The sequence below is a fragment of the Homo sapiens genome, chromosome 18, assembly GCF_000001405.40.
Source record: "Homo sapiens chromosome 18, GRCh38.p14 Primary Assembly".
NCBI classification, from domain to species: domain Eukaryota; kingdom Metazoa; phylum Chordata; class Mammalia; order Primates; family Hominidae; genus Homo; species Homo sapiens.
In genome coordinates, this window is record NC_000018.10 from 11,401,775 (window position 1) to 11,428,666 (window position 26,892).

The 26,892-nt window shown below is 38.8% G+C and overlaps 2 long non-coding RNA genes across 2 annotated transcripts in view, besides 1 other annotated feature; both read right to left on the reverse strand.

Moving 5' to 3' along the window:
- LOC107985173 (uncharacterized) overlaps positions 1-26,892 on the reverse strand; it is a 122,834-nt gene that overhangs the window by 34,670 nt on the left and 61,272 nt on the right. The window lies entirely within an intron of this gene.
- Positions 1-26,892, reverse strand: part of LOC124904250 (uncharacterized) — a 55,834-nt gene that overhangs the window by 25,613 nt on the left and 3,329 nt on the right. The window lies entirely within an intron of this gene.
- Positions 24,998-25,233: a silencer, noted in NCBI's record as "fragment chr18:11426771-11427006 (GRCh37/hg19 assembly coordinates)". NCBI's record gives its function as "represses an EF-1alpha promoter that drives an FKBP-Casp9 reporter gene in an ReSE screen in K562 erythroleukemia cells {active_cell/tissue: K562}" and the evidence as "EXISTENCE:reporter gene assay evidence [ECO:0000049][PMID:32094911]".

A 26,892-nucleotide genomic window follows, 5' to 3' on the forward strand; every position in this document is an offset into this window, starting at 1 on the left:
ATGCATGACAAAGGATGAAGACTGAATCCCGTAAAAATTGAGGAGGCCAATTTGTCTAGGGTATGTTCAAATATCACCTCCCAAGTTAAAGACAATTTGCTACACTGGGAACACCTACCATTAAAAAAATTATTGTGCTTAATTGGCCCATTAAATTTTAAAGAGAACACTTCCATATTTGAATGTATTGTTCTAACTCATTTATGAAGCAACCCTTTGGACTACAGGGCAAAATACCTTGCCCGTTAGCTTTTATGATTCAGTGAATTGAAAAGACCCTCCCCTCACTGTGTCTATAGTTTATTGGGAGGCTGTGGCAAATTCCTGTGGCAAATTCCAATAGGAAAATCACAGAGAATGCCCCTGAGTTTTGCAACAAAGCTCCACTCTCTTCAGCAAGCAGCTTTTCTTCTAAAAACCAGCTCTTGGCTTGCTGTTGGATCCTGGTTGAAAATGAACTAATCCAGGTTGCTATAAATGAAATGGGTGTTTTTTGTTGCACCAGACTGAAGGCATCATCAGGAGTGAGCAGAAGTAGACATAACAGCAGTAGAGACACATACTTACAGGAAGGTAGTTGTACAAAGGGAGGTATCATTTTCAGGGCCTTTAGCTTGGGGACAAGTATTGTTGGCATAGCACGAGGCAGTGGAGACACCAGGAGAGAAAACTTAACTTCTCTGACCTGGGAAATTAGAAAACTGATTTGGGAAAACTGTTGTTTAGAGTGGGAAAAACTTGGAACAGAAAAATCCAAGAAGAGATTCCAAAATATGCCTACCCACATCTTTGAGTGACTTAGGAACCTGCCTTCATAGAATAGACTCAAAGCAGTTTAGCTAATGACAAACTACCTAAACTGAGAACAGAGCCACCATCTAATAAAGTTTTCAATTCAAGTTCAAACAAGACAATTGCCTGCAAAATTAAAACAAGCATTGGAGAAAATGTTATAATGTCCAAAATGACCAAAGTAAAAAGAACCAGGAAAAGGGAACACATTCTCGAGAGAAAACAAAATCACCTGTGAATCACCCCAAGATGACTCAGATATTAAAACTAATAATTGATGATTTTGAAGTGGCTGTGATAACTATCTTTAGAGGGTACAATAAATATGTTCTCAATAAGTGAAATTTTAGGAAATCTCACCTTAGAAATAGAAATAACAACAATGAGCCAAATGGAAATTCTAAAATTGAAAAAATAAATTATCTGCAATAAGTAACTCTTCTTTTAAAAATCAATTCTTGGCTTGCTATTGGGTCCCAGTTAGGTCCTAGATGAATAAATGTAATAGCTGAATGGAGATGTCAGAGGAAAGAATAAGTGAACTTGAAGACAGAGCAATGAATACGACCCAGCACAATGTGAAGAATAGTGCCGTAGTTTGGATATCTGTCCCCTCGGAAACTCATGTTGAAACTTAATCTCCAATATGGCATATCTAAAGGTTGAATTTTCAAGAGGTGACTGTGTCATGTTGGCTCTGCCCTCGTGAATGGATTAATCCACTCAGGGATTAACGAGTTATCACGGGAGTGACATTACTGGCTTCATAAGAAAAGACAGACCTGACCTAGCTCACCTTCTCAACATGTGATGCCCTGTACCACTGTGGGACTCTACAGAGTCCTCACCAGCAAAAAGGCCCTCACCAGATACAGCCCCTCAACCTTGGATTTCTCAGTCTCCATAACTGAAAAAAATAAATTCCTTTTCTTTAAAATTACACCATTTTAGGTATTCTGTTATAAGCAACAGAAACAGACTAAGACAAACAGAAATAAAAGCTAAAAAATCAAAAGCATGAATAGAGTACCAGGGACTGACTTGTTAAATAATACAAAACAATGCAACATAAATTTAATTAGAGTACCAGAAGAACAGAAAGGTAATGGGGAAAAAGTAATGTATCTGAGGAAATACTGACTGAAAATGTCCCCATCTGATGAAAGACAGAAATTTAAAGACACAAGATGATCAACAAACACCTAACAGAATAAACATGAAGTCCATCATAATAAAAAATTTCCACGTCAAAGGGATGAGCAAATCTTGAAAGCAGAAAGAGAAAAATAACACATTAAATAAAGAAAAACAATTCAGTTAGTGGGGTTGTCTCATCAAAAGTCAAAGTGGCCAGAAGAGAGTCAAACAACATTTTTCAAGTGGTCAAAGAAGAGGCTGAACAACTCAAGAATTCTATAACTGGTGAACCTATACTTAAAGAATTAATGCAAAATAGAAATATTTTCAGATAAAAGATAAACTAAGGAAATCATTATAAAAGTTTCTAAAGAAAGTCTTCAGACTGAAGAAAATGATAGCAGATGGAAACTTGGATTCTCAGAAAGGAATGAAGATCACTGGAAACCATAAGTGAGTCACATTCCCTTACTCTTATTTGCCATTTAAAGTAGAGGTGTAGCGCAAACAACTGTAGCATCAAAAATATGAGTATATATAGACACATAGTGTTGTAAGGTTTCTATATCTTATAGGAGGTGGTAAAATATTAAAGTGGGCAGTAAAAGGCTAAAGTTATATGTACCATAATCTCTAGGACCATCACTATAATGCAAAGAAATATAGCTAAAAGTCAATAGGAAAATTAAATTGAAATTATGAAAGTATTCAAATAATCCAAACAAGGGAAGGGATAAGTAGAAAACAAATAATAAAATGATATCTTCATATCTAATCATTGGAATAATTACATTAAATGTTTTTAGTTTTTGGGTTTTTTTTCTATAGAATAATTACATTAAATGTTAAAGAACTGAATGATGCAACTAAATGAAGAAATTACTAGAATGCATGTTAAAAATCAAATAACATGTTGTCTACCAAAAATGTAGATTAGGTATAATTACAGATATACTGAAAGTAAATGGATAGAAAATGATACGCCATGCAAACATAAGCATGAGAAGCCTACAGGCCTCAATTAATATAACATAATACAAATTTAAAGACAAAAATATTACCAGAGGTAAAGACAGACAGTATGATAAAGTAGTCAAATCATCAGGAAGATGTGCAAGTTATGAATTTAACAAAGCTTCAAAGTACATGAATCAAAACTTGATCCAATTAAACAAAAAACAGATAATTCCACACTCCAAATTATATATTTTAACATAAGAGTCTGCCAACTTTTTTCCCAAAGGACCAAAGAGTAAATATTTCAGGCTTTGAACATATTCTTTTTGTGAGTGTGTGTGTGTGTGACCTTTTAAGAATGTAAAAATCATTCTTAATTTGACAGCCTGTGGGCCAGCAATTTATAGATGAGTTCAACAAAAGAATCAGCAAAGACAGAGAATGTTTGAACAACACTATCAGTAACCTAGAGTAAACTGATATTTATAGAGCTACCCAGCCACCCAACAACAGAATACATATTCTTTACAAGTACGTAAGCTACATTTACTAGAATGGTCCATATGCTTAGTAATTTAAGGTCTCAAATTTAAAGTTTCAAGTCACGTGTTCTGACCAAGATAGGATTGAATTAGAAATCAACAACAAAATACATAGGAAAATCCCAAATGTTTAGAAATTCAACATTTTGAAATAATTAATGGGTGAAACAAGAAATCACAAAGAATATCATTCAGTGATTAAATAAAATTGTCATGAAACGCAAAATGTTAAAATTTTTCAGGCGTAGACAAAATAATGCTTAGAGAGAAATTAAGGACCTCATAGGACATCTGGCTAAATGTCTTTTTTTTTAGATGCATGAATAAACTAACATCAAGAGATTTGCAGAGATTACCACAAGTGATTAATGGCAAAATCACTTCTTTTTCTTTATGCCTTGATCAAGTAGCTCAGTGCATGTTACAAGGTAGTAGCTCAGTAATTGCATATTGAATGTGAATAGATGACTTCTAGGTATCTGTGTAGAAGTAAACGCAAATGGATTAAAGTGTCGTTACAAAATATTATAGTTTACATACTAATTTAACTTTTAAAGTGATGCAATTATTTTAGCTTATTTTTTCAGAAGGAAACTACATCCTTAAAATGTTGTATACTTCAATAGCTGACTCTATAATTATTGTGACCAAGAGACAAAAGGGCTACAGTTTTTTTTTTTTTTAAATAAATTTTAGCTAAAATGTTCATAGTTTCCCAAAGAATGGGAACAAAAATTCTGCTTACCTCACTGGCTTCATTGGATTTTATTCCGTCTTCTGCCTATCGGAGTCACGTGACACACCCTGAGACTGTGACCTTTATATTGGTTCTAACCAGAAAAGGGAGAGCATCCATCTCCACAATCGCTACAGAGCTCCTAGTACGATTCACTGGGGCTGCCCCAGAGGAGTTAACCCAGACTTCAGGATTTCCTGACATGCAGAATAGTTTTTCTTTTTTGTTTTTTTTCTTTTTTTTGGGACAAAGTTTTACTCTTGTTGCCCAGGCTGGAGTGCAATGGCGTGAGCTCAGCTCATTGCAATCTCCGCCTCCTGGGTTCAAATGATTCTTCTGCCTCAGCCACCTGAGTAGCTGAGATTACAGGCGCCCGCCACCATACCCAGCTAATTTTTGTGTTTTTAGTAGAGACAGGGTTTCACCATGTTGGTCAGGCTGGTCTTGAACTCCTGACCTCAGGTGATCCACCCGCCTCAGCCTCCCAAAATACTGGGATTACAGGTATGAGCCACTGCACCCAGCCCCAGAATAGTTTTTCATGTGTTGATGCTCACCTCACACCCAGTTATGATTTACTAGACTGTAAACTTAGAAGAAACCAAAACTATAAAGAAATTTAAATCCATCTTCTTTTTCTCCATCTCTACCAGACTGCTTCACCCTAATCCTTTACCTTGTTTTGCCTGGGGCATTATAATTACTGTCTCCATTACTGCTGGAATGACCTTTCTAACGTGTGGAAGATAAGGCCCAATATTCTCCACATGGAATCCAAGGTTTCTTGTGACCAGATGTCTGCATTTGCTTTCTCACCAGTTTCTAGATTGCATTTTGCTTCCCAAAATTCCAAGCTATCATGCCTACATAGATGTGTACGCGTCTGTGCCTTTGCTTATGCTCTTCTTTCTTTGTGAATTGTCCTTCTCAGTTGTATTTGCTAAACTCCTATGTATACTTCAAAACTCAGGTTAGGCATCACCTCTCCTGGCCTCCTCAGGCTGAGCTCAGTGTCCTCAAATCTCTGTTTCCATTGCCCCTATATATTTGATTGTTTATCACATTTAATGTTTTTTTCTTTTTCTTGAGATGGAGTCTCACTCTGTCGGCAGGCTGGAGGGCAGTGGCTCCATCTCTGCTCACTGCAACTTCCGCTTCCCAGGTTCAAGTGATTCTCCTGCCTCAGCCTCCCGAGTAGCTGGGACTACAGGTGCCCACCACCATGCCCGGCTAATTTTTGTATTTTTAGTAGAGACGGGGTTTCACCATGTTGGCCAGGATGGTCTTGATCTCTTGACCTTGTGATCCACCCACCTCGGGCTCCCAAAGTACTGAGATTACAGGCATGAGCCACCACAGCTGGCTTAAATTTTTTTTTTTTTCATTTTGTCTCTCTGCCCCAAAGAAATTCTATGTGCTATATTCATTAATCCCTAGCATAGGATCTCACATAGACATTAGATAAACATTAAACTTACTAAAATCTCGCTAATTTTTAGATAAGGAGAATGCAATTTTTATGCATTGAGCACCCCCAATTTCCTCTGGCAAATTAAAGATGTTACTTAGTTTGTAACAATTCAGAAAACTTTAACTATGGTAGCTCCAATTGCACAATTGGTTGGCACCAGGTACTTACAAAACAGAAAGCTTCAATTCATGGAAACCTAGAGCACTGCATTACAATGATCACTGGTGCTGTTAATTGTAACTCTCTGGAATAGAAACACGTGACATTAGCCAATAACCATGGTCTCTTATGATGAGCTGCCTACTTCGTATAGAGATGGCTCTCGTTGTTATCAACGTCGTTTTCAAGCCTCCAAGTTGCTTGTACATGTTATGCGACTTACCTTATTCAGAATCCAGAAGGCCACAAATGTCTGGGAATGTTCATGACTGAGTGAATAAAACTGTTCTAAAGAATAATTTTTAAAATTCTTCTGGTTGGTACAAATAGGAAACACTGTTTAGTTGCAATCACCAAATTAAGGTAGACAAATCTATGGAGGAAAAAATGTGCATTATTGACATCTCTGAGCTGAGAAACATTTTTCAGTCACACTGTACAGCCCATCCAGGAATTACTGAGCTCCAAATATAGATGATGACTAAGATATATAGAATCTCCTCGACAGGGCTTGCTTAAGCCTGAGCACTTTCCCCAGGGCTGCTGCATATTGTACTTGCACATCTCAGATTTGGTCAAAACCAGGCCTCTATCAGAACGGCGGCCAAGAACTGTTGGCTCTTCTGATCCCTGAATACTGGTTGTCTACACATGTGGGAGATATTCTCCTCTCTTTTTAGCATCCTTTCTTCTGTCATCACACTTCAAGGGCTTTACTCAAATTTAACACATGGCAAATGTGTGAATGCTTCAGATGCTGAATGAATTAAAAATGTAAGTGATTCTTTAACTAGATCATGGGTAACCCCCCAAAAGGCCAAGGATGGGGGAAATGAAATAATTCGACAATGAGACTTTCTAGCACACAGTTGAATCCCCTGTGCAGAGTATGCTTTTTTAATGCAATCTCTAGCATAACTTCTCAGGTATTAACTCTGGAAATATTTGTTTGTTCAAAGTTTCTCATCATAAACAGGAAGGCAGAGATTTGCAGAGCTTTTGTTCATGCTTTATTTTCTTCATGAGTAACTAATTAGTAGCTTAGAAGATTACCAGAAAGATTTTAGAAAAATGACACAATGGCATTGGTTAGTATTTATGCTTTAAGTTTTGACCATTTAAAGCAGAAAAATAGGGAACTGGGCAATTGGCCCAGCCATCTATAACAGTCACAAGAAGAAGTTGACTGACAAGAGAACAAGGCACATACTGTTTTTTTCCTGGCAAATATGAACAACAAGCATAGACACTCGAAAAATATTCGATGCAGATCTCAAAAAAGGAAGGAAATCCAGAGGAGAAGATGGAGGTAGCAAAAGAGTTTATGCATGTGCTATCCATTATTGGGCTGATCCTCAGCCAAAACCCCAACAGAGATTCAAAATTAAATTTCCAATTAATTTTGGCCGGATTTTTTTTGGTCTTTTTGAGTAAAAGAGTTCTCAGAGGATCCCCTTCTCTTGGTCCTTTGAGAATAAAATGACCTTTCCAACAACCAAATGGCTTTCCTCTAATCCAAACATTAGAATAATTTATAGAAAAAGGATAATGTTGAGGCTCTTATTAGACTAACGTTATCTCTACTTGTTTGGTTGCCATATAAAACGTTCATACTCCAGAAACATCACCTCAAGCATTCTTTGCCATAAACAGAAAGCAAAACAGAAATATTAAAAAGAAAATTAGTGTAGCGCTTTCAAAGAATTAAGATGCGATTTGGTAGCAGAGTAATTTTCTAATTATCATCAGTTGTCTTTTCTGCACCATGCCCTTGACACAGTCAATGGACTATCCTATAGAAATAACAAAAGGCTAAATTGCCAAATACCATCATACATACTGTACTTGAGTCTGATCTCTGGGCCTGACAGGAGACATATTATTGTCAGCAATTACCCAGAGGGTAAAATAATTTCTCTCAGACCTTCTCTTGTTCTATAAGACAGCCAGGCTTAAGACTTGAATTGTGCTACCTACAGAGGGAAGCCCAAACCTCAAGGTAAGAGCTTTGCATATGCAGTTAACAAGCCCTGTAGTCAGAAGAAGTAAGAAGTTGGAGGATACTAGTTTCCTGTGGCAGATAACAGATTACCACAAACTGAGTGGCTTAAAACAACAAAGTAATTGTCTCACAGGTCTGGAGGCCCAAAGTCCAAAAGCGAGGTGTCACCAGAGCCATGGCCCCTCCTGAGATCCTAGGGGAAAACCCACTCCTTTTTTCCTCTCGTTCCTGGTGGCCACATCACTACAATCTCTGCCTCCATGGTCACATGCCCTCTTCCTCTTGTGTGTGTGTGGGGGTCTCCCTCTGTCCCTTTCTTATAAAGACACTTGTGATTGGATGTAGGCCCCAGCTGGAGAATTAAGGATAATCTTCCCATGTTAAGATCTTTAACTTGCCTGTAATCCCAGCACTTTGGGAGGCCAAGGTGGGTGGATCACGAGGTCAGGAGTTCAAGATCAGCCTGGCCAAGATGATAAAACCCCGTCTCTACTAGTAATACAAAAATTAGCCGGCATGGTGGCAAATGCCTGTAATCCCAGCTACTTGGGAAGCTGAGGCAGAGAACTGCTTGAACCCGGGAGGTGGAGGTTGCAGTGAGCAGAGATCGCGCCACTGCACTCCAGCCTGAGCGACAGAGCAAGACTGTCTCAAAAAAAAAAAAAGGGGGGGGGATCTTTAACTTGAATTTCTCTCCTTATAGGGTCACATTTATAGGTTCCAGGGATTAGGACCTGTTATCTTGGGTGGCCATTATTCAGCCTACTACAGAGGGTAAGACAGTCTCTTTTATTTAGTTCAATCTTCTCTTTTTACACCCGATGCTGCAGTCTGCTCAGGCTGCCATACGAAAATACCATAGATTGAGTGATTATTGTCTCAGAGTTCTGGAGGCTGGGACTGAAATCATGGTGCCAGCAAGGTAAGGTTCTAGAGAGGACTCTCTCCCTGGCTGGAAGACAGCATCTTTGCTGTCTTGCTATACACACAGTCTCTTCTTTGTGCACTCGGCGGGAGAGAAAGAAGGAGCTCTCTGGTGTCTCTGCTTATAAGGGTACTAATCCTATCAGGAGACCCCACCCTCGTGAACTCATCTAATCTTAATCACCTCCCGAAGGCCCCACCTTCAAACACCATTATATTAGGGGTTAGAGCTTCAACACATGGATTTGGGAGGGACACAAACATTTTTTCCGTAACACCTAGCAATGTGCTCAAACTTAATCTAAAAGTAGCTACAAACCTCAAGAAGGAAAATAACCCAGGCCTCCAGAATCATCCTAGTGTCTCTGGGTACCAGTTCCACCAACCACGCAGCTAGCTTAGCGAAGAGCAGCAATTCAACTCATGAAGAGCAGATGTGTTCCTCTTTCCATGGTGAAGATGGTGCTGCAGGCTTGCAGGCACTGGGGTAAGAATATAATACACACTCTACAGAGACAAGAAGTTTGTGCCACTAAGTTTTTGGCCCCAAACCTCCCAGTATCTCATTTTTTTTCAGCTAATAACAGAACTGTAATTTTAAAAAGTATAAATATCTTTAAAGTGACCTCATTTTGTAACATTCATGTCATAGTAATTCTTGAGACCCAGAAGTTTCATAACTTTCCTAAGAATTCCAGACCATATGTTATACATTTCTCTCTGCAGTTTTAAATTCTGGATATACATCTGGCCCTAATCTGAAAACATCATGTAATCATTCTTCAGAGCAATAAATTCTATGACAAACTAAAGAATGCAAAACCATAATCTAACATTAAAGCATACAGTTTTCATTTCTAAATAATTTAGCTACTTATCCTCAGAAATCAGTCATGCAACCACTACATCCAGCTCCATGTTTTCTGAACAAAGAGATTCAGAAATACCAGTCCTTCTTATACTTTTCTATGGTTTATGAAAAGGAAATGGGAAATGTTTATATTGGGCAGCTTCTATGATCACTAAAGAGCAACATCATGAGTGTCAGAGAAAGACAGAGACAGAGAGGTGAATATGTTGGAAAGGCTTGGAACAAATCAGAAAGACGATCTCTGGAGCTGGATGGCTCTGCAGCTGAAGCTTTATACTCTTTGCAAATTTATTTTTTACTATTAAAGGAGAAATTTCCCCCCAATAAATTGCCCAATTCCTTTTGTGATCACTTATGCCATCTTTTGTTTTTAAGAAAATGAAAGCAATGTGCATAATTTAAAAATAAGTAATAAACAAGAGAGTAAAATCTCTAGTGCTCTTTGTTTTCTTTAAAATAGACCACATTTTGCATGACATAAACACACCATCAACCAACCTCTTTACTTTTATGTACATGGGGTCTTTTCTTTGTTCCTAAATTGATTGTTTATTGCTAAAAGTGACAAAGATGGAATTTGAGGATGTGCTTTCCCTTTCTATAAAGAGCATAGATTATGATGAGTGGAAAGAAAATAATTTGTAAATCTGACATCCATAACACTGCAAATTTTAGACAAATATCTGAAATATTCAAATACACAGAAACAAACAGTTGTTGTTGTTGGTGTTTTAAGAAGAACCCCATGAGAACTGCTGCTAGGCTTTCTGTATCTTGACCTTAAGTGTTCTTTCAAGGGCTTTGTTGGGGAGATATTCTGATATGTCACATTTAGAAGTAAGCCTACGTAGAATTGACTTGATGAATCATTGAGGGTAGCTCTCAACCTGAGAGCTCCCTCACCCTTTCCCATCACCCTTTCCAACCTGACTGTTTGCAATTAACGTCTCTTTCCCCAGGTAACTACACATGGTGATTTAGACTACCTGGCCAGCCCATAGAAACCCATTTTACCCAAACTGCCGCTGACATGGTCCTGACCAAGAGCAATGGCTCCTGTAGCTGTGGCTTCAGCAATGTGGGAGCAGCCAGAAAAGCCCACTTGTGCTGTCCAATGACTCATAAATCAAGGATTCATGTACCAGAGACCTGCATGTCCAAGCTGTCTCTTTGTTGACATGCATATTTAGCTGCTGAAAACCCTAAAGTTTTCATAAACACCAAGTTCTCTCAGAACAAGAAGGGTAAAAAAAAAGTCTCAAGGAGAACTAGTATTTTTCTATTATTAGAAATTTTAAAAAAAGAAAAATTGGTTTCAATTCATCATATTCTTAATCACATTATTTAAAAATAAAAGAGCTGTGTTCTGAAAATAATAACCATTAAATAAGTTTGTCAGCTAAATTGTATCTGAACGATAATTGGTCTTTCTAGACCACAGTAACTCAGAGATCTGTGCGTAAACAAAGCTTCCTGAAGTGACAGGAGTATTTGCTGATACCCAACTACCCAGCATGGAAACGTTCTAAAGGCAAATGCGTGCCATGGAAATAGCTGCAAATTGGCACGGGACCTCTCTTGTCAGCCTGCCTGTGCTGTGGTTTTATGATTACTATTGCCTGTATCATCAATTTGTATTTACTATGTTCCACTCTTAAGTGAAAACACAGTTTACTGCATAAACCACAAAAGCCTCTTGTTATTCTTCTCAGTTGGGCATTAATAATGCATCCTGATGTCCTGCTCATAAATGCAAGTGCATTTACAAACTGCACATTAACCACTGAGGCCCCCCCCAGAGCCCGAGGCCCTCTCACAGGCATCAGAGGGAAGAGAGAGGGAGCATCCCCCAGGCCTCAGCCCAGCACCTGCTGCAAGGCCTGCCGACGGCCCAGCCCTTCCTGATTCCTCCATCTGCCTGTGGAGACTTTTCAACTTTGGATCTAATCAGTTTTCCTCTCTCAAGCAAGGAGTAATTGTTTTAATAATTATTTTCAGAATTTGATTGATTGTATTTCTGCCATGGAAAGCCAAGGCCAAGTAAAACACCCCAGGCACATAAAACTTTTTCCTTGGAGCATCCTTTTCACTATTTCAAGACAATCATAATAATTGTCCATGCCCTTTCCCCACAAATAACTGATTCAAAATAATATTCTTTTGCCAGGCTCAACTTAGGTGATTTGAGGAAAAGCGAAGCAGCACCCTCCAGGAGACCCACCCCTGTCTCCCTGTGAGTGCAGTGGATCTGCAAGACCCAAGCTGGACGCTAAGCCACCCAGCACCTCCTGGTGGCATTCCTGCCTGTTTCCACCCTGCCATGCTGTGGCCCTTTGTTCATGAGTGTTACCCTTCCTTCCTCCCTTCCCTTCTCTTCTCCTTCCTCCCTTCCCTTCCCCTTCCTTCCCTTCCTTTCCTGCTTTCCTTCTCTCTCTCTCTCTCCCTCCCTCCCTCTCAGCCTCCCTCCTTCCTTCCCTCCTGTGTCCTGTTGGAATCGAGGGCTTTGGTGTCACGTAGGCTTGGGTTTGAGGCCAGCTCTCTCATTTGCAAGTTACGTGACTGACCCCCCAACAAGTTTATCCAGACTTCCAGCAAGCCTGAAGAAATACCTCCTTTGCAAAATTTCTGTGAAAATTAAATAAAATTGCATGTGTGAAAGTACCTAGCACAGCCTGGCACATAAACACAATCCTTTCCTCCAGCTCCTGCTCACCTCTCTCTCTTCCTGGGTCTAGTTCGCCACTATTCGACTACGCCATCTGACTTGATCTGAGAAGTTTGATGCCAGGTCTCAGTAATATTTAACCATGCAGTGAATTACTATAATTTTATGTTGTTTCACCACCCATTTCTAGGCCTGCCGTAAGTTGTTTGAAATCCAGTCATATCCAGTTATTATATCTTTAGCTTCTTTAAAACTTCCCCTTCCCATGCAATGCAGACAGCTGGTTCCTCATCTCACCAACCCCAGCATCTCTCACAGCCACTGACCACGATGAAACCTGACTAAGCCCAGAGTCAGGTAAGAAAGGTCCCCATCATGTGTGTTTTGTTTAAGCCAGCCAACCACCGCTCCCCAAGGGAAGCCCTGATGGATAACGCCCACCAGCCTCACTAAAGGCCCAGTCCTGCAGGTCCTCTCCCTGTGGGACTTCCCTCCTGCTGGTTGGGCTCCCTACTGTCTGCAGACTTCCTGGCGGCCTGGTGGGCAGCCCACTTGCCACTGGGGTCTCCAGGTAATGACCTGCTTCTGTTTACCAGGTGCTGTGCCATGCTGCCTCCTCTGTGTCTGGCCTGACCCACACACTGGCCTAACGCTGGGAGCCCTCCAGGCCAACTAGAGGAAATTACAGCAGCAACTCTGGTTCTTATGAGGATTGCTTTCTCCACATTAATCCGTAATAACAATAATTATGGCTGGGAGGAGGAGCCACTGGCAGGGTCTGGTGTGGAGGAGGAAGTGGGGTCCCAATCGGGTTCCATGGGTTCTCCCACCTCCAGCAGCAGGAGGAGGCTGATGCCCAAGACAGTCAAAGCCTCCCACAATTAAATATCCCACACTATTTTCTGGTTGTTAAAAAAAAAATACATGGCTTCTTAGATTATTTTAGATACGTATGTTAAGAATTGTGTACAAATTCAACCAATAAAACCAATAAAACCTCAACCAATAAAACCTCAATTATGATAACAATAGTAAATCACACTCATATCCCTACCATTCACTTCAAAGACTGCCATGCCTTCATCAACGCCCAGGCTAGATTTATTCACTTTAACCCACCTATTCCTTTAAAAATCCAGGTGAATAAGAAATCCATGTGGTCTCCCACATTCACTCAAAAGTATTCATCCAGTAAAATTCAAGAAATAATCCAGTTAGCTGTGAATTTTCACCAAATTTCTTGGTACTCGAATAGTTAAACTCCATACTGGCAATGGCGTTAGATTTTTAGAATTATCTAGATGCACTCATCATATGGAAATGCTTTTTATGACCATTAAGTTTACATAAGCTAAATGGGATGTGCTCTTAATAGCAAAAGAAGAACCTTCCCTTTCACTGGTCTTGCTCAGCTATCAATAAGCACGTTTCCCCTACTAACTAATTTATAGAATCTCAACAATGGGGAGAAACCTGGAGACCATTTACCCATGTACCAACTCAAAGCAGAAATTCACCTTCCCAGCCCATCCCCCCAGTATGCTAATCACTAAGAAAGAATATGATCTTTAGTTGTCTTGTTTTCTTGTGTTTCTCTAAATAATAAAATGCCCAAGTGTAGAGAAGTAAGTCTAAGACGATCTCAATAAATTATGCATGGATATGAAAGTGGTAACTAAGTTTCATCATGAACAAGTTTTAGAAGGAATATTACCTGAAAGTTATATAAGAAATATTCACTTGGCTTCTATTTTAAATAGAGTATATTTTAAGAAACATAGGAGCAATGATGCTAATACTACATGGTTTGTTCCTCAAGGAGTTTATAATCTAGTAGAGTCTATTTACAGAAGATATTTACAAAAACATATTGCAAGCTAAAATGTAAATGCCATCAGAAAAATAAAAGTGATCTGCGTGTTTAGAGCAGAGAAAATATACTTCCTACTGAATAAATGGGTTTAAATTGTTAATAAAATTTTTAAAGTATTAAGAGTTATGTTTCTTCATTAAATACTTCCCAAAACACATGAATCACTGGAGTCTATTACAGACCTCACACACAGTAAGTGCGGAATAAATCTTTGTTCCATGAACCAATGGGAAAAATTAGAAATAACAGACATTATTCTAAAGGTGAATTTTTACCTGAAATATAGTATGATCCTTTATCCTGAAAAAGACAACCTCAACAACCATGGAGATGGCCACATTTTCCTATGGAGATAGATTAAAAATGATCAAGATCCTTTAGAGCTGATCCTGTAATGTTCTTACCCTTCTCAAGCACAACTTCAGTTCATATAGAAGAATAAACATCTAGAGTTCATCTCCTTGAGACTTTTTAAATATTGAAAAAGAATATATAGAAAGAGCGAACATAGATAAATCATCAAAGTGGGCTAAGGAAGGTTGTTTTCACTTTGTTAGTATTGCTTGCTCTAACTACACAGAGAGTGGTACAGGCGGAAGACTTTCACAGCATCAGGCAGTGATCTGTGGGTATAATGAGCGTCCTCTCTGCAGCTGCTCAGCCTCGCTCCAGATTGTCACTAAAAGTTACTTGATTTACATAATTTTTTTTTGGTCCTCACAGGAGTAGACCTTGAGACAAGGATTTGAGCTCAGGTAGTTTATTGGGGAGGTGAAGGAAACATCACAGTGGGAGCAGGGCCATGAGACAAGGGAGTGAAGACAGCCAGTGCATGTAGCCTCATTAGACCAGTAGGTGCTGAGGCCCCAGAAAGTTCCAGGAGCCACGGCAGAGCATGTGCCCAGAGGCCTCACCTTGCAACCAAGCGATGAAGTACTGAAGGGATTTATCCTCCACCTGTCTCATTGGCTGAGAACGACTCCCAGGGGATATTAATTCCCTCCCCCACACATCAAAGTAACCCCATTGCTGCTCTGTTGCATGGGCCAACACTGTGGGTTTTGGTGGCCAGAAAACAAGCCCATAGATAAAGGAATGCAGGAGTTGACACTAAGTCAGGCCAGGGCATGGCAGCAGTAAGCAAGGAGACACGTGTGGGCACCACAACACCTGTTCCACTTTGAATGTGTGACTTGGCCACGGCAAGCATTTTAAAAGCCATCATGCTTGAGGTCTGAGAGGGCACAGAGAAGCCTCCTCCAAAGCCCCACTGTGGAACTTACTGTCTTCTGTTGCACAGCATTGGTAATAAGCTAACTGGTCCACTCTACTCTTTTCCTACTCTTATCATTCTAGAAAAAAAGAACACACACACACCAATCCTAGAGTCAAGCCTGAAGGAATGCAGCCTCACTGGAATCACAGAAGTGAGCTCTGATGTGCCATGATTCTCCTATAGCAGTTTCCCCAGACCAACTGCAGAGAGAAAGGAAACTGGGTGCTCTGGCCACACTGCCAACAGGATGCAGGCAACCAACGACATCTTTCTCATTTGACGTCAGTTATTTAAGAAAAATTATCAAAAGTTTACACCAACAAAGCTGAAAACATTACTGGGAGTTCTAAAATACGTGAATATATCTGAAGCCTGTGATGGCTTTCTGTTGACCATCCACAGACTTAAAGAGGAAGCTCTCCCTTGAATATCAAGCAGCCGTCCTCAGCTCCTCCCGAGCATCCTGCACACAGCCCGCCTTCCAAAGCATCACTTCCATGACCCTGCCTCTGTCAAACTAGCAAGTACATCCCTAAGAAGTCAGTGGAGAATGACCCTTCTAGTCACATTTTTAATAATTGTACTCTTCTGCACACGGGCCCAAGCAATGGAACTTGACTCACTAAATCTAAAGGAGAAATCGTTTCCATCTAGACTCGGGAGTTCTGAAAAACATTTCATTTTCAGGGTTATCACTTTTTGAACTTCTGAAAGAAAACACATTCTCTACAGTCTACCTACATTTCCATCAGGACTGCCTCTGTGAGACTGTCAGCGTCTAGGGTATGAGGACACTATGTGGCCAACAGACACACACACAGTTGGAATCTCTTGAAAATACTATAAATAGACAAAATCAGTTTTTTCTTATGTAGGTTTAGGCATGCTTTCTAATGTATATATTTCGATTGTTTCTTCCTCAGTTCATCTACCATATACTTACTGTCCTACCTCCTTTGAGTGCTCATTGCCGTGGTAAACGTGAGGTATGCAACAGTGAGCATAACAGTCTCTAGCGCTGCATAACTCATTGCACAAACAGTGTCAGAATTGTCGTGACAAAAATCAAATACAGAATTGAACAGAATGCTGCCATCTGCATCTGTTTAATTTTGGCACTCCATGCCCTTCAGTGGCTACATAACATACTGTCCTGTGATGAAGACCAAGTCCTTTACATGGCCTGGGAACCCCAGCTGGTCTTTCTTTACAGTAGCTACTAAGAACTTTTTTCTCAAAAAGCACGATTAAGAATCAATTTTAGGGCCAGGCACAGTGTCTCATGCCTGTAATTCCAGCACTTTGGGAGGCTGAAGCAGGTGGATCACTCAAGGCCAGGAGTTCAAGACTATCCTGGCTAGCATGGTGGAAACCCATCTCCACTAAACATACAAAAATTAGCTGGGCATGGTGGTGTAATTCCAGCTACTCAGGAGGCTAAGGCAGGGGAATCGCTTGAACCCGGGAGGTGGAGGTTGCAGTGAGCTGAGATCGCGCCACTGTACTCCAGCCTGGGTGACAGAGCAAGACTCCATAAAACAAAATAAAATAAAATATAAATTTTAGGAAAGTTTTAAGAACATATTCCACTGAAGAAGAGATCTATACAGTGGAAATCTTTAATTTCTTTCACTACACATTCCACAGTTCTTTTGTATACATAGCAAATAGGATATCCTACGTGGTTTTTCTAGAGAAATATGCAAAGACGTGTTTCAGATACGCAAATTAATTCCATTAGAAACCCTAAAATAGTGGTCCCTTTAGTTCTTAGAAAAGCATGGAAGTAAAACATAGACATGAATTCAACAAGATGGAAAAACTTCCTAAGGTTTAAATACAGCAAATGCAAATGTACACTTTGGGCTTAGGTTTGAATTTGTAAAAACTGCAAGATTCTAAAAATATTTCAGAAAAAAATGTCCTATCCTCATGCCAGTTGTCCAGCATACTTGATGCCAACCAACATCTGATAATCATAGGTAGAATATATTTTAACATATATAGGCAGAGATATTATTATTTATATATTTTTTTCAGTTATGTGTGTTTCTGTAGGTCATTTAGAAAGATTTTCTTTTCTCAGGTTTTCTCAGGGTAAGATAAACACTTTCACAATGAACTCCCACATATACTGCAGCAGAACACTCTAGAAGTCTAGAATATATTTTAACATATATAGGTAGAGATATTATTATTATTTATATATTTTTTCAGTTATGTGTGTTTCTCTAGGTCATTTAGAAAGATTTTCTTTTCTCAGGTTTTCTCAGGGTAAGATAAACACTTCCACAATCAACTCCCACATGTACTGCAGCAAAACACTCTAGAAGTCTACAGTTTGGTCTCAAAACAATGCTACTTCCTCTTATTGTCCCAGAGTGGAATCTGAAAACGAAAATACATTTTGTAACTTAATTCAGTATCACTATGGAAAAACAGCAGAGTGCAATTAAGACTCAGTGTATCAGGCCTTCCAATCTACATAATTCTAGCTTTCTATTTGCTTCTCATAATACTCAACACTTAGACATACTATACTTTTATTTCTAATCTCCATTTGTTTAAATAACACAAAAGCTTCTTCAAATTTCAACTATTATTTATATAGAGTCCTTTGGAAGATTTATTCTTCTTTTTAATTTAGAAGTTTAGAAGAGAGGGTCTTGGGAACCTGAAGACCAACTTCACTTGCCTGAGCAGTGGGCCACACCAGGATAGAGGAGGTTACAATTCAAGCCATTTCCAGTCCATCCTTGAAAACGATTCAGTACGCACAGAATGCATAGGCTCAAAGCTAAGTCCCTTTCAACCACTGAGATTACATATTCTACTCTTTAAAGTAACATAATCATTATGCAAGTCTACAATCATTTGATCCTACAAAAAATTATGATTACAGGCATACGTTGGAGATACTACAGTTGAGTTCCAGACCACAACAATAAAATTAATGTCAAAATAAAACAAGTCACATAAATTTTTTGGTTTCCCAGTGCACATAAAAGTTAGGTTTGCAAACACCACATGTTCTCACACATAGGTGGGAACTGAACACTTGGACACAGGAAGGGGAACGTCACACACCGGGGCCTGTCGTGGGGTGGGGGGGATAGCATTAGAGATATACCTAATGTAAATGACGAGTTAATGGGTGCAGCACACCAACATGGCACATGTATACATATGTAAAAAACCTGCACGTTGTGCACATGTACCCTAGAACTTAAAAGTATAATAAAAAAAGAGAAAAGTTAGCTTTGCATTATACTATTTTGTGCAGTAGCATTATGTCTAAAAGTATACAGACCTTAATTTAAAAATATTTAATTGCTAAAAAATGCTAAAGATCACCTGATCTTTTAGTGAGTCCTAATCTTTTGCTTGTGGACAGCCTTGTCTCGATGTTGATGGCTCCTGACTCATCAGGGTAGTAGTAGATGAAAGTCCTGCTGGCTGTGGTGATTTGTTAAAATTAGACAACAATGAAGTTTGCTACATCGATTGACTCTGCCTTTCATGAAAGATTTATCTGTGGCATGTAATGCTGCTTGATAATATTTTACCTGCAGTGGAACTTCTTTCAAAATCGGAGACAGTCCTCTCAAACCCTACTGCTGCTTTATCAACTAGGCTGATGTAATATTCTTTACTTTCATTTCAAAAATGTTCACGTTCAGTCTTCACCAAGAGTAGATTCCATCTCAAGAAACCACTTTCTTTGCTCATCCATAAGAAACAATTCCTCATCTGTTCAAGTTTGATGATGAGATTGCAGCAATTTAGTTACATCTTCAAGCTCCACTTGTGATTCTACTTCTCTTTCCATAGTCAACACATCTGTAGTTACTTCCTCCACTGAAGTCTTGAACCCCTCAAAGTCATCCATGAAGGTTGGAATCAACTAACTCCTGTTAATGCTGGTAATCTGACCTCCTCCTATGAATCATGAATGTTCTTAATGGCATCTAGAATGCTGAGTCCCTTCCAGAAGGACTTCAATTTACTTTACCCAGACCCATCAGAGGAATCACTGTCTATGGCAGCCATAGTCTTACAAAATGTATTTTTGAAATAATAAGACTAGAAATTTGAAATTACTCCTTCATCCATGGGCTGAAGAAAGGATACTGTGTTAGCAGGCATTAAAAACATTAATCTCTATTTATATCTCCATCAGAGCTCTTGGGTGACCAGGTGCATTGTCAATGAGCACTAATTTTTTAATTTTAATTTCCAGGATACATGCGCAGGACATGCAGGTTTGTTGCATAGATAAACATGTGCCATGGTGGTTTGCTGCACCTATCAACCCATCACCTAGGTATTAAGCCCTACAAGCATTAGCTATTTATCCTGATGCTTTCCCTCCTCCCCTCATCCCCCCACAGGCCCCATTGTGTGTTGTCTTCCTCCCTGTGTCCATGCGTTTTCATTGTTCAGCTCCCACTTGTAAGTGAGAACATGTGGTGTTTGGTTTTCTGTTCCTGTGTCAGTATGCTAAGAATAATGGCTTCCAGTTCCATCCATGCCCCTGCAAAGGAAATGATCTTATTCCTTTTTAGGGCTGAATAGTATTCCATGTTGTATATTTACCACATTTTCTTTATCCAGTCTATCATTGATGGGCATTTGGGTTGATTTCATGTCTTTGTATTGTGAATAGTAATGAGCACTAATAGTTTGAACTTTTTTTTCTGAGCAGTAGTCTCAACAATGGGCTCAAAATGCTAACTATGTGTAAACAGATGTGCTATCATCCAGGCTTTGTTGTTCTATTTCTAAAGCACAGGCAGAGTAGATTTAGCATAACTCCTAAGAGCCCTAGGATTTTTAGAATAGTAAATAACCATTGGCTTCAACTTCAAAGTCACCAGATGCATCAGTCCCTAACAAGATTCAGCCTGTCCTTTGAAGCTTTGAAGCCATGCGTTGACTTTTCTCTAGCTATGAAAGTCCTAGATGTGATCTTCTTCCAAGAGAAGGCTGTTTTGTCTACCTTGTTCAGTGTAGCGACCTTCATCAATGGACTTAGCTAGATCTTCTGGATAATTTGCTGCAGCTTCTCCATCAGCACTTGCTGCTTCACCTTGTGTTTCTAATATTATGGGGATGGCTTCTTTCCTTAAAATTCATACCAATCTCTGTTAGCTTGAAATTTTTCTTCTGCAGCTTCCTCCCCTCTCTCAGCCTTCACAGAATTAAAGAGTTAGGGCCTTGCTCCAGGTTAAGCTTTGGCTTAAGAGAATGTTGTGGTTGGCTTGATCTTCTATACAGACCACTCAAACTTCTCCATATCAGCAATAGGCTGTTTCACTTTTTTTATTATTATTATTCGTGCGTTCACTGGAGTAGCACTTTTAATTTCCTTCAAGAACTTTTCTTTTGCATTTATAACTTAGCTAACTGGTACAAGACACCTTTTTTCCAGCCTATCTCAGCTTTTGTTTGACGTGCCCTTCTTACTAAGCTTAATCATTTCTAGCTGTTGATTGAAAGTGAGAGATGTGTGTGATGATTCCTTTCACTTGAACACTTAGAGGCCATCGTAGGGTTATTAATTGGTCTAATTTCAATATTGTGTGTCTCAGGGAATAGGGAGTCCCAAGGAGAGGGAGAGAGATATGGGGAACTGTTGATGAGTGGATCAGTCAGAATACATATAATATTAATTACTTTCTCTATCTCATATGGGCACGGTTAATGGAACCTCGAAAAAATCACAATACTAACATCAAAGATCACTGATCACAGGTCAACATAACAGATATAGTAATAATAAAAATGTTGAAGATATTTTGAGAATTAGCAAAATGTGACACAGAGACAAAGTGAACACATGCTGTTGGAAAAATGGCACCAATAGATTGCTCAACACAGGGTTGTCACAAACTTTCAATTCACAAAACACCATATCTGTGAAGCACAACAAAACAAAGCATGCCTGTATTACACTATCAGTTGAAAAGAAAATGTGGTAGCATCAATGGGAAATTATTACTTAATAATCATAGTGTGTTAAAGAGAAGTGAGGCAATGCGAAGAATGCGTTAGTCTAGGAAAAAAATTATCTTTAAATCTCTCATCATTTTCCACCGGGTGTCTTGTTGAAAAGCAATTGTAAACTTGAGATATGCACTGATTTCAGCAGCCTTCCCAGTGGTTGTGGCCTGAACCCATTAATCAGCTAAAAGCTGAATGTAACTTTTATATTTAAAGTTGAACTTTCCAAACAGCAGTGGGTATCAGAGGCCAGGAGCCCAGAAGCTTTCTGTGTTGAGGTTTTGCCTTTCATTTTTCACTCTCCAGGTCCCTGTGACTTTGGTGGGGTCACACCCACTAGGCCACCCTCCATCTTCTGCCTTCTAATCCCTTGATGTTTGCACAGAAAGCAGTCTACACTGCCACTTTTTCAACACTCCTTGTGGTTTGCTGTGTCAACAGAGTATTTCTGATGCTGCATTGGATTAACTGACCAATTTGTTCTTCCATCTTTTTATGCCATTCCCTTGAGACAAACCACACTGATAGAAGTGGTGTTTGTTCTCTCAGGTGTTTGCATATGCATGTACATGTGCCGTATTTCTCATGAAAATACCACAAAATGTGTTTAAACTATTATTACTTCTTTGACAATAAAAAAACTATGTTTACATGAGAGAATTTTAAAACTGGAAGGAATCAAGAAATTATCTAACCCGAAATCAGCCTGATGAGAAAACTTAGGTCCAGAGAAGGGAAATAACTTGGTTCCGAGTCAATAAGAACTAAGAAAGTGTCCATTGGCCAAAGTTGCTGTCTTCATTTCCTTCTGAATTTCCTACTGCTTCCCTTCTTCTCAGTCTTCACTGTGGATTCATCTCTAAGCATTAGTGCTTCCACAGTTCCATCCCCCAGCCTTCTCCCATCCTGACGTGATCCTCAAGCAGTAAGCATCATGCTAATGACTTCCATGATCTCATCTACATGGATGAATCTCAAATATTCCAGTTAAAGCTTCTTTCACCTTCACCACACCTCTACCACCAATGACATATTGGAGGTCTCCTTCTGAACCCACCTCACTCCTCAATGTGCCCAGCGTACCCCATCCTAGTGGGTTCCTCCTCCCATATTTCCTACCTCAGCAAATTACTCCACTATTCTAGCCATTCTCCCAAAGCAAAGGTAATATGTTGAATCACCTTCTACACACACACACACGCACACACATGCACCAATCTATTAACTACCAATGTTCCTCCTGCATCCCTCCAGAGTCCACCTTCTCATCTCAGCTTCACTATCACTTCTTGGACTCTGGCTCTTCTCTCCTCTAACACATCTTGATGAGAGATATTCCTCTGTCTCCAGAGCGTTCCAGTTGTATGCCCCATTCCTCCTCCAGCAGCCATAACAGTCAACTGAATCCTTAGACCCAGTTAGCCCCATAGAATAACTCATCAAAAGTAATGAAGCTGTTCTGAGAATTCTCCATAGTACCAGCTTCAGAGAACAGAAGCTTCAAGAGAAGAAAATGGCCCAACGCCACCATACCACTGAGCTGAATATTCAGAAGTGTGACTTCGGCTGATTACAGCCCTTTCCTGTAAGAGCTAATCTGCCCATTCCTCATGTTGCTTGATTGTAAATCATGATATGAGCCAATAATCCACGAGTATTCTTTTTTATTAATAGTATAACCATTTAAATCTATACAAAATTCTGGAAATGTCACTATAGTTACAACTCACAAGTTTTAATGTTTAGTATTTGTATTATTGTAAACTTTTTTTGCCTCCCATATTTAAATTAGTTTACTGGGGCCTAATAATTTAAGTGTCTATTTTGATGATTTTTGGCTAATGCACATCATCATAGAGCCCAACCACACTCCAGATACTGACCATTTCCTCCACCCAGACATGTTCCTCATTTCCTGTCACTGTCGTCCCTCCCCGCCATCTCCACTGCCACTTGTTTTACGCAAGCTCTGATGAACTTTTAGGTCACTACAGTTTTGCCTTTTCCACAGTTTTCTATCAATGGAATCACACAGTATATGCTGCTTAGTGTGACGCTTCTCAGACTTCTCATGTTGCGTGCCATCAGTAGCTCATTTGTTTTTACAGCTGAGTGTTTCTCCATGTTACGACTTTACTGTATTTTATCTACCCATTCTCCAGTTGACAGCCATTTGGGTCATTTCCAGTTTTGATTATAATAAATTATGCTGGTGTGAATACATCCAAGTCTTAGTATGAATGTACACATTCTCATGCGTAAAAGCCTAGAATCAGAATTGCTGAATCACAAGGTAAGTATGCATTTAACTATAAAATGAACTGCAAAAACTGCTTTCCAAAGTGGCGCCACCATTTTCCCACAAGCAATGTATGAGTTACGGTTGCTTCACATTCTTTCTCACACTTGGGATTGTACGTTTTGTGTTTTAAGTTCTAGCTATTCTAGGGAGTACCTAGTGGTTCTAATATTCATTTTCCTGAAAACTAGTAATACTGACCAACTTCTCACATTATTGGTCATTTACATAACTTCTTTTGTGAAATGTCTCTTGAAATCCTCTAATATTTTTTAAAAGCATGTGTCTTTTTTGAGTTGTGACTTTGTTTTTTTAAATATATGTTCTTGATAATAGTCATTCTTCAGATATGTGTTGGGTAAGTACTCTGAGAGTTGCCTTTTCATTTTCTTAAAGAAAAAATTTTAAATTTCAGTAAAGTCTAATTCATCTATTTATTTCATGGTTCATTTGGCAGGAGCTGGGGGCTCAATTTAAGAAATTGTCTACTCAAGGTCACGAGAATTGTCTTGTGTTTCCTTCTGAAAACTTCATGCCTCTTATATGTAGTCTATGATACACTTTGAGTTAAGAGTTGTGAATTATGTGAGATGGAGTCTAAGTAAGTTTTGCTTTTGTCCCCCTTTTTTTTAAAATCATTCACATATTCAACAGCTTCAGACCAAGTCTTTGAAAAGAATCTGCTTTCACCATTGAATTACCTCGGAGCCCTTGTCAAAAATCAATTGAACATATATGTGTGGGTCTATTTCCAACTCTATTTTCTAATATTGTAACATGTTCATGTAGGCAGAAAATCCTTTAGCCGATACCACAATGTCTTGGTTGCTGTAGCTTTATAATAAGCCTTGAAATCAAAAAGTATATAATTTCCAACTTTTTCTTTTTAAAATATTTTTGGTTTTTCTAGGTCCTTTGATTCCATATAAATGTTGGTGCCCATCCCTTGACAATTGCTACAAAAACTTGCTGCACCCGGGGAAAATTACTACCTTAGCTACCATGTCTTACAATACATAAAATGATATATTTCTCCATTTATTTAGGTCTTTAACTTCTCTCAACAAAATTTTGTAGTTTTCAGTGAATAAGATGTATACTTTTCACTCGTCTTTTCTTAAGTTTATTCAAAGGAATTTTATTTGTGCTTTTGTAAACAGACTTGCTTTGAAAACTGAGTTGTTCCTCATTTCAACATCCAATAGGTGTTTTCCTAACTGATATATAGAAAGGCAATGGCATTTTTTTTTGGCTGGGCCCGGTGGCTCACGCCTGTAATCCCAGCACTTTGGGAGGCCGAGGCCGGCGGATCACGAGGTCAGGAGATCAAGACCATCCTGGCTAACACAGAGATACCCCGTCTCTACTAAAAATAAAAAAAAAAAAATTAGCTGGGTGTGGTGGCCGGCCGCCTGTAGTCCCAGCTACTCCGGAGGCTGAGGCAGGAGAATAGCATAAACTCGGGAGGCGGAGCTTGCAGTGAGCAGAGATTGTGCCACTGCACTCCAGCCTGGGCGACAGAAGGAGAGTCGGTCTCAAAAAAAAAAGGAAAAAGAAAAAGGCAATGGCATTTTTAATCTCAACCTTATTTTTTGTAAAAACCTCGCTAAAGTCACTTCTTTTCTTTAGCTTTATTTCTGTAGATTTCTTTGGATTTTCTGCCTACATTAACATGTTAACTACAAAAAAAGTTAATTTTGCTCATTTCTGATCTGTATTCTCTTTGCTTTGTTTTCTGACCTTACAGAAATCCCAGTGCAATGTTGAAAGGGCATTCTGGCTTGTCCCTAATCTCAAGTACAATGTATTCAGTCTTTTACCATTAAGTGTGATGTTGGTTGTAGATTTTTCATATCTGTCTCTTATCAGGTTGAGAAAGTTATCTTTTATTTCTAGGCTGCTAAGAGTTTTTGCTGTTTTGAGTCAAATTACACGAAATGCTTTTTTTACCCCAATTGAGAAAAATCCTACTTATTCTCCCTGATTGTTAATATGTAATATTATGATTTGTCAATGTTAATATGAAATATATGGATTTGTCAGCTATTAAATAATCTTGCATTCCTGAGATAAAACCCAGTTGTTTGTAACTTGTTTTGTATATTGTATCATTTTCTTTGAAAATATGTTAAGGATTTTTGCGTTTATGTTCATGCGGGACATTTCTTTCTATTCTTTTAATTCTTTGGCTTTGGTGTGAGAGTAATACTGGCCTTGTAAGGTGAGTTGAGAAGGGTTATTTTGCCTCAATTTTATGCAACTGCTTTTATGGCTTTAGTATTTTCTTTTTCCTCCTAAAATATTTGATAGAATTAACCAATGAAGCCAGCTGAGTCTGGACATTTCTATTTGTGAATATTTTAAATTATGAATTCAATTTCTTTCATTGATACGGGACAGTTCAGTTGTCTGTTTCTTAAGTCAGTTTTGGTAAATGTGGTTTCTTTAAAAATATGACTATTTCATTTAAGTTGTCATGATATTTTCTTTTCTTTTACTATCTATAGAAACTGGAAGGATGTCCACTCTTTTACTCCTGATATTGGAATTTCCTTCGGTTTAATATGTTTTATTTACCTTCTTAGATGGAAATTTAGATATTTTATGCTTTTCTTCCTTATAGCAATATTCCTTAAAGCAATAAATGAACTCTCTAATACTATTTTAGCTACATCTCACAACTTTTGATATGCTGTACTTTGTTATTGAATTCAAAATATTTTCTAGTTTCCCTTTTGATTTCTTCTTTGGCCAGTAAATTTTTTGTATTTTTAGCAGAGACAGAGTTTCACCATGTTAGCCAGGATGGTCTCGATCTCTGAATCTCATTACCCACCCACCCCAGCCTCCCAAAGTGCTGGGATTACAGGCGTGAGCCACCACACCCAGCCTCGGTATATAGTTTATCTTGATGAATATTCATGTGCACTGGAAAAGAACATGTGTTTTTTTGTTGCTGGGTGGAGGATTCTAGCTGTGTTATTTAGATCACGTTGTTTGGTAGTGTTATTCAAGTCTCTATGTTTATTGATTGTCTACTTTCATCAATTAGAAAGGAGTAGTGAAATTTCCCACTATAATTGGTCCTTTTTCCATTTCTTCCTTTAGTTTTGACAGTTTTGTTTAATATATTTTGGACTCCATTATAACACACACATATATTTTTAAGTGTTACCTCTTCCTGC